At 40.8% G+C, this 8,877-nt stretch overlaps 1 protein-coding gene across 5 annotated transcripts in view; it reads right to left on the bottom strand.

Annotated features, from left to right (window-relative positions):
* Window positions 4,455-8,877, bottom strand: part of CNGA3 (cyclic nucleotide gated channel subunit alpha 3) — a 52,146-nt gene continuing 47,723 nt past the window's right edge. For all 5 annotated transcript variants that reach the window (XM_011510554.3, XM_047443222.1, XM_006712243.3 and 2 more), the window contains one exon: window positions 4,455-7,212. In XM_011510554.3, the coding sequence (XP_011508856.1) occupies window positions 5,801-7,212 (1,412 nt within the window). In that variant the 3' untranslated portion in view covers window positions 4,455-5,800. The remainder of the gene's footprint in view (window positions 7,213-8,877) is intronic.

The following is an 8,877-nucleotide window of genomic DNA, read 5'->3' as shown; positions in this document are numbered from 1 at the left end:
GATTGCTCAGGAAGGGCTCATGAAAACAATACTCCTGAGTTTTTGCATGTTTATAACTGTTTATCTGCAGCCTTTCTACCTCAAGGCCAGTTTGGTTGGACATAAAATCTGTGGCTCATATTTTTTGTCTTTGAATATCATGCATGTGTTATTTCATTGTCTTCTAGCATGAAGTGCTATTTTATAAAAGTCTGAAGGCAATCTGATATTACCCCCTTGTAAGTGACTTTGTCTTTTTGCTTGAATGTCAAAAACGTTTTTTCTTTTCTTTTGCAGTCTATAAGTTTTACTGTTATATGTCTCAGTGCCAGTTTTCTGGCTCAATTTTCCCAGAATGCAGAATGTGTCTTCAATATCTAGTTCAAGCTAATTTTTATTTCAGGAACTTTTCTTAAATGATAAGTTTTAGTGTTGTGCTCTATTCCTGTGCTTTGGTACTTGTTTGGGATTCTTATTAACATGCTAGATCTTTGTTGTTTATTCTCCATCACTTTTCTCACAAATTCTTTTTATCTTTTTCATTTCTTTTTGATTAAAAAAAAGCATTTTGGGAGCAGTTTTAGGTTCACAGCAAAATTCCCATATACCTGCAACATACTTCATATTTTTGAAAGTGGTATCAAAGGTGCATTTGCTGTGACAGATGAACCTACACTGACAATTTTTCTCTTGAAGTCCATAGTTTACATTGGTGTCCACTCTTGGTGTTGAACATTCTGTGGGTTTTCACAAAGGTATAACAACATGTATTTACCACTACAGTATCATACAGAGTATTTTCAGTGCCCTGAAACTCTCTGCACTCCACCTGTTTATGCTTCTACTCCCCCAACCCCTGGCAAACACTAATTTTTTTTTTTTACTTTTGCCACAATTTTGTCCTTTCCCAAATGTCATATTCGGAATATCTTTTTTGATTTTTAAGACATTTTTCCTTTCCATCTTTGATTTCTCTTAAAACATTGCTTACTATGTTTATTTGCTCTTGTGTTCCTTTTAATTCAGTTTTTAAAATTTTTTTTGTTCTTTTATTTCTAGTACTTTTCTGAGTTCTGTTACAGCTCTTGTCAAATCTTCCTTTTCCTCAATCACCTCATCCTTGATTCTGGTTTATGCTGTTTTTTTTTTAATAGCATCTATCATTCTCTTAATTTCTCTTGGCTGGTTTTGAAATGATGAGTCAGTTTACATCCGTTCTGTGGGCATGTCTTTCTGGTGGGTTTCATTATCTGCAGAGATGTTATACTCCATCTGATTCTTCCTCGCTGTCTTTTTAATAAAGACTTTGCATGAAATTTGAGGGTGCATCTTTTCTGTTGTTCGTCTTCTAAGTGAGTTGAATGTGCTTATACTTTAGAGAGAAGAGATGGAGCATGATTTACTTTTTTCTAACTTCATAGTTCTCTAATTCTCTCTTCGGCTGTTTTCTCAAAGTGATAAAAATATATATGAAGTAGTGCTACCTCCTCTGCTTCTCTACCCTCTTTTATCTAAACTTTTTCTTTCCTTTGTCACTACTGTTTCTGTCCTGTGATCAATTTGGATTTTACTCCAAATTGTCTCTCAGTGAGGGGTTTTGTCTTAGAAGGAAGCTTCTTTCATACTAGAAGAAAACATAGGGTAAATCCTCCATGACATTGATCTGGGAAATTATTTTTAAAGATGTGAACCCAAAAACACAGACCACAAAAGCAAAAATAGACAAATAGGATTACATTAAACTAAAAAGCTTCTGCACAGCCAAGGAAACAAACAAGAGTGAAGAGACAACCTACAGAATGAGAGAAAATATTTGCAAACCATACATTGATGAGGGTTAATATCTAAAATATATAAGGAACTCAAACAACTCAATAGCAAGCAAACAAATAACCCAATGTAAAAATGGGCAAAGGATCTGAATAGATGTTTCTCAAATAAAGAAAGAAGCTTTATTCTGTGAACATCCAGAGTGTGCAGCACCGAGAGTGTCCCTGCACATCAATCTTGCAGCATCATTGTCAATTTGCTGTCACCCACAAATTGATCCCTGCAGAATCTCCCTTAATTCCAGCTGTTCTCAGACAGGCTCTCCATGCTTTTTAGTGAGCACCTGTTGGTGATTTGGGTGTTTTCATATCCTCAGGGATGTCAGATGTTGTCTGTGGATCTTTAGATTTGTTATCTTATTTGCTGTGTTTTATGTGAGGACTTAGAGAGCCCAACAAACTACACTGCCACCACCACCATTTTTCCAGAATCTCAAAAATCTTAATGAAGTTTCTACCATAATAATAATACATATTCTTTAATTGTTACATTGCCTTCCTCTCTCTGATCTTCCTGCCTCCCACTTATCAGAATCCTTGTGATTATATCAGGTCCCCTTGGAAAATCCAGGATAACTTTCCCACCTCAACCTCCTTACTGTAATCCCATTCACATGACCAGTTGATATTGACATTATGTTCCCCCATGGCAGTGTAGAGGCTGCTGGATCCTTGGCTCCAGTTCTGAGTGCAAGATCCATCAATAAGGCTTTACATCCTGGGGTGGAAAGTATCAAATAATCTACATATATGATCTGGAATCCTTCTGTAAAAAATATGTGTCCTTTCTCCCTCATTAATTTATTTATTCAATCATTCATTTATGGCATAGACTCATGGACTTTTATACTTTGGGATATAGTCTAATACTAAATTTAAAAATTTTGTTTTTCAAATGGCTTCAGTTTTGGCCATTGGGAGCTCTTTCAGGTTGGTTGCTATGTCCCTCTAATTTACTTCCATCATTGTGTGTGTGTGTGTGTGTGTGTGTGTGTGTGTGTGTGTGTGTATGTAGAAAGCCCTATCGCCACTTGCCCCCCAACATTGTGCTTTTTGAGTACTTTCCGGCACTACAAGACACTCCATGCTCATGGTATATTTTCCCCGTCTCAGCCCTAGAATCAGCCCTGGTTCCTTTTATTGGAGAAAGATATTTGGAAACCAAGATCTGGGTGCTTGGTGTGCTCTTTGTAATAGGTATCACTGCCAAGCCTTCTTGGTACACAGAGTTAGAAATATATCTATGTATACCAACATATATATACATACACACACACACACACACACACACACACACCTACAATCATTTCTGCATCTGTCTACCTGGATATATAAATAAACGTGAGTTCATTCTAATGTCTGATTTCAATCCAGTACCACAGGGTTCATTCTGATCTTGTGTGGTCTTATTTGTAACTTCTTTTTCTGACTATGATAAATCTGGCTTCCATTTTTTAAAACATTTATTTATTTATTCCCTCATTCATGCATTCATCCATAGTATAATGTAATTCTGAATTAGTAACGCATATCCCCGTGTGAAACAAATTTACAACTAGAGTACAGTATTCATGTCACATCTTTTCATCTTTAGCCTTAGTTTCTACTCAAAGCACCATTTTTAACATTACTTAGGTCATTGTTTTACCCTATGTCCTTCAGTAAAGTTATGTCATATATTTCTAATATAGCTAGATTCATTTGTCACAATCTGCTTTCCATCCTTATATTGCCCACATTCGGGTTGATATTTTAAAATTTCATACATTACAGTTTATTCTTTGTGGTATACAGTTCTGTGAGAGTGAACAATGCACAGTCATATACCCACCACCCCAACACCATGCAAAACAGTTCCATCACACTAAAAATTCCCCCGTGATCTCCTTTGCAATCAGCCTCTACACCTCCTGACAACCCCTGGCAACCGCTGAGCTGTTTTCCACCATTATTGTTTGCCTTTTCCAGAATGTCATACAAATGGAATCTTTTTCCCTTGATCAATTGCTCATTCATTTTCATTCCTGAGTAGTATTTGATTATAGGTGATTGTATAAATATACCACTGTTTTACTTTTTTCTTTATTTCTTTCGTTTTTTTTTTTTTTTTTAGAGACAGGGTCTTGCTATGTTGCCTAGGCTGTCCTCAAACTGTTGGACTCAAATGATTTTCCCTTCTCAGCCTCCTTAGTAGCTGGGATTATAGGCACACGCCACCTCGCCTGACTGTTTATCTATCCATTCACTTATTGAATGATATTATTACTGCTTCCAGATTTTTGTTAATAATGAATAAAGCTGCTACCAACATTTATATACATGTTTTTATGTGCATATAAGTTTCAAATTCTTTTAGGTAAATACCTAGGGTGTGATTGCTGGGTCATATGCTAAAGCATATGCCTAACTTTATAAAAACTACCAAATTGTCTTCCATATTGCATATTGCAATATTGCATGCCCACCAGCAATGAATGAGAGTTCTTGTTGGTTTGTGCCCTTAACAGCACTTGGCTTTGTCACTTTCTTGGAATGTGTGCCGTCCCCCACATCAGCACCTATCCTTTCTAGGGAAGCCATTGCCCTAGAAACATACTCTGGGACTGAAACTTCCTTTATGGCAAGAGCTGAAGCAAGAGTCATTCCTATTTTTAAATCCAGGTCTTTATTTTTCCTGTGCAAATATGAATGCAGGCATAACTAACAGTTAAGGCTTTTAAAATATATACATTTTGAGGAGGAAAAGAGGAGAGAGAAAAAGGAAGAAAGAAGGAAGAAGAAAGAAAAAAGGAAAGGAAGAAGAAAGGAAAAAGGAAAGAAAGAAGAAAGACTCATCTTTGGGTAATTTGCAACATGTTACATAAGTGAAGGATGGAATTTGAGGTCATAATTTGCAATCACGGAACTCAAAAATATAAATCTGTTATAAAATGTTAATGAAATTATATTTACTGGGGTTTGTTTTTTAAAAAAGCTAATTTCTGCAATCTGTGAGCTTTCGGTGAGCCAAAAGCTTTGCCTTGGGATGCAATTCCAAGGGATCTTGAGGCTTCCTCTTCATGGGTGAATGGGCAGTTTGCAAAGATACGTTCCTAATGGTCTAATCTTCTAAAACTCTCAGTTGTCAGCTTTTTTGGTTTAGTACACCATTCCAACCTTCAATCTAAAATGCTCTCCCTGTACATAGCTCTCCTCCTTGAGTTAGAATAGGTCACCTAGGGCCCTGACTCAAGAATGGAGGATAGGGGCTGTCTTTGAATCTCTTTGGCAAGTGAGAAGGAGGGGATGTCTCTTCTCCTAACTGAGATGCTTTTTTCTGTGAAGCAGATTCTGGTTTCACAGTGGCTGAACGGCAAGGAGTCTGGATTTGCTTCACAGATTTTAAATGACCTCAAATGGGGCAGCCTCTTTCCATCCGGCAGAACTTCTACTTGCCATAGCACTCCCAAAAGCCAGGGTTTCTAGGGCCCCAAAGAACACACGAGGTGATACCAGATTAAGAAATATGCCTCAAACTGTCTTGTGTAAGTCTGAATTTTAGTCACTATGTTGTACCTTCAGCTTCCTGTTATATACCCATTATCAGGTGGTGGTGAAGTTGGACAGGAGAAAGGTGACTAAATAATCTTTCATTTATAAGAAAATCAGATTAAAAAGCCTAAAAACACCTTGCAGATTCCATAAAAAAGTAATGAGAGTCCTGTGTGCACGTTTTCATATACTTGGACTGGGGATACCTTGCACTTTGCAAAGCCCTGCCTGGTGCAGTGTTTCATGCGGACTTCACAATCAAACCTGGCACTTCACTGGGACTGAGACAAAAAGTCCCATTTTTTAGGTGAAGAAACAGGTTCTCTCAGGCAGTCACACAGCTTTCAAAGGGTGAGTAGAGCTGGAATTCAACCCTGACCAAGTTCCATGCCACACAGCTGCGGCCACATACGGTCACCCTGACAGTCGACCCTGTGAAGCAGGAGACAGATGCTGCATTTTCACTGTTGTTTGTCCTCTGTTTTTGTAGCATCCCCGGGAACTTCCCCATCAGCCAGGGGCTTGTCCCCACCACCCTTCACCTGGCTTTCCAGTTGGCTGAGACGCTGCTTCATCTTCATCTGGGTGGCGTTGTACTCAGCCAGGAGGCGTGCAAACCTGGTCTGCAGGGTGTCCAGGGAGGACCCCAGCTGCTCCACTTTCTCCTCAAGGTCCTTGGGGTCCGCGCCCGCCCTGGCCAGCTCCTCATCGATCAGGTTGTCTTTCATCAGGATCTGCCGTCCTTTCTCCTCCAGGGCCTTCTTGGCTTCGGGGTACTCGGTGAGGGCCTCCATGAGATCGTCCTTTGAGAGGCAGAACAGGTCTGAGTAGCCAATGCTGCGGATGTTGGCCGTCCTGCGGTTCCCCGACTTGCTCCCCTTGATGTTCAGAATGCTGATCTCCCCGAAGTAGCTGCCATCGCTGAGGACCACGAACTGGGTGACCCCATCATCAGCCACCACGGCCAGCTTGCCCTCGTTGATGATGTACATCTCCTTCCCAATATCTCCCTTCTTGCAGATATAATCCCCAGGGCTGAACACAGTGGGTCGCAGCTTCAGCACCAGCTCCACCAGCAGCCCTGCCTCACAGTCCTGGAAGATGCGAACCTTCTTCAGCGTGTCCAGGTGCACGTTGATGGCGATCTCAGCCTTCAGCTTGTCTGGGAGGCTCTTGAGCACCTCCTTCTCATCCACCGTCTTCTTGTTGGCCCACAGGTAGTCAAACCACCGGATAACCCGCGTCTCCAAGTCCTTGGTGACCTTGCGGAACTGCATGTACTGCTTGATGGAATCAATCTTGGCCTGGAACTCTGCCCGTGAGGCATTCATATTCGAGATCATGGAGCCCACATTGCCCACAATGGTGGCAAAAATCAGAACACCCACCAAGAAGTCTACGACCACAAAGAGATACTCCTCATCTTTCACGGGGGGTGGGGTCTCACCAATGGTGGTAAGGGTCAAGGTGGACCAGTAGAGACTGTAAATGTACTTCCTGGAGAGGCGCCCATGCTCTGGGATTGAGATGTTTGGGTAGACCCAGGAGTCTGTCCCAAAACCAATGAACTTGGAAATGGCAAAGTAGATGCAGGCATTCCAGTGGATGATGATGAGAATGTACAAGACCAAGTTCCCAATCCTGAACATATTGGGGTAGTTGGTCCTTGTCTCTGTGCGGTCAAAGAATTCAAAGAGCCGGGAAAACTTCAGTAGGCGGTTGAACCTCACTTCTGGGTAGTTTGTGCCCACCTTTAAGTAAGCCAGGTCGGTGGGGACCAGGGACAACACATCCAGCTTGAACTGCGTGGTCGTCTTGTAATGCTGCCACAGCCTGTTGGTATCACTGACCATTAAGCCTTGCTCGAGAAAACCTAAAGAAGAAGATGGAGGTCATTGGGCATCACAGAGGCTGACTTTTTTTGACCATAGTACAAAGAAACATATTTTACCTCACGGCTACACAGTATGCAGTGATACATATATAATAGAAATGATTTCAAAAACAACACTTACCATTACTACAGGAAATGCACTCTGATATTTTCTATTCTATGAGGTTCTAATCTATTCTATTGAATTTTTTTAAAACATAGGTTGATTGAGTAAATTTAAATATAAATTGGGTATTACATGATAACAAAGAATGATTATTAAATTTTAAAAGATAAATGGAAATTATATACATATTTTAAAAAAGGATCCTTTAAAATTAGAGATACATGTTGTAAATCAAAAAGTGACAGAGGGCCGGGTGCCGTGGCTCATGCCTATAATCCCAGTACTTTGAGAGGCCGAGGCGGGTGGATCACCTGAGGTCAAGGGTTTGAGACCAGCCTGGGCAACATGGTGAAACCCTGTCTCTACTAAAAATACAAAAATTAGCCAGATGTGGTGGTGCACCCCTGTAATCCCAGCTACTCAGGAAGCTGAGGCACGAGAACCACTTGAACCCAGGAGGTGGAGGGTGCAATGAGCCAAGATCGCACCACTACACTCCAGCCTGGGCAACAGAGTGAGACTCTGAGTCTTTGAAAAAAAAAAAGTGACGGAGGCAGATCTCAATTGATTTAGAGGTTTATTTTTATCAAGGTTGAAGGTACACCTAGGAGAAAGAAACACAAGTCACAGTAAGATCTGTGGCCTGTGCTTTTTCCAAAGAGGGTTTTGAGGATGTCAATACTTAAAGGGGACAGAGCAGGCAGCAGGCAGGAGAGGAGAGAAGAAAGAAAAGAAAGGGTGGGTAGGCAATGAGGCCAGTGGTTATATTCTTGCTAGGCTTTGATTAGCGCTCAGTGAATCTACATGTGAAAAGAAGGGAGTGGAGGAAAAGTAAATTATGCAAACTACATTTTACGTAAGATAAAGTAAGCATGTGAAATTACAGCTATCTGGGCAGAAAAGGAAGGCAGCTTTTGCATGACTCAGTTCCCAAGCCTAACTCTTCCCTTTGGCAGAGTGAGTTTGACTTCCTGAGACATTCTATTTTCTATTCAAAATGCTAAAGTGCTTACTGCCTGGGGTTTGCTTATGCCAGCCAAGAAAAGGGTGGATGAAACAAAAGAGCAAAAACAAAAACAGGAAAATCAAACAAGAAAAGGGCGGATGAAACAAGAAAAGGAACAGATGAAACAAGATGGGCAGAATGCTGATAACAGCTGGAGCTGGGTGAGGGTACATGGGGATTCATAACACTATTCTCTCTGCTTTTGCATACATTTGAAAATATTAATAATAAAAATGTAAAAAACACAGGCCATGGCCTCCCAAATTGATTTCACCAGTCAGCAATGGGGCACAACCTGCCTTTTGAAAACACCTTCCAGGAACACAGCTTTCCTTGGTTGCACGTGACTGTTACCCAAAGGGCTTTTAAAATATATGAAGTTCGGGACCCACCCCCAAAGAATCTGACTGGTCTGGAGATGGGCTGGACACCTAGAGCCAGGGGCATTATGATGGGTGAAATCAATTAAGGAGGCCATGACCTGCATTCTTTTTTGTTTTTTACATTTTCAAACATGCACGAAAGTAGAGAG

The sequence above is a fragment of the Homo sapiens genome, chromosome 2 (assembly GCF_000001405.40).
Source record: "Homo sapiens chromosome 2, GRCh38.p14 Primary Assembly".
Taxonomy (NCBI): Eukaryota; Metazoa; Chordata; class Mammalia; order Primates; family Hominidae; genus Homo; species Homo sapiens.
This window is presented reverse-complemented; position numbering and strand designations above follow the sequence as displayed.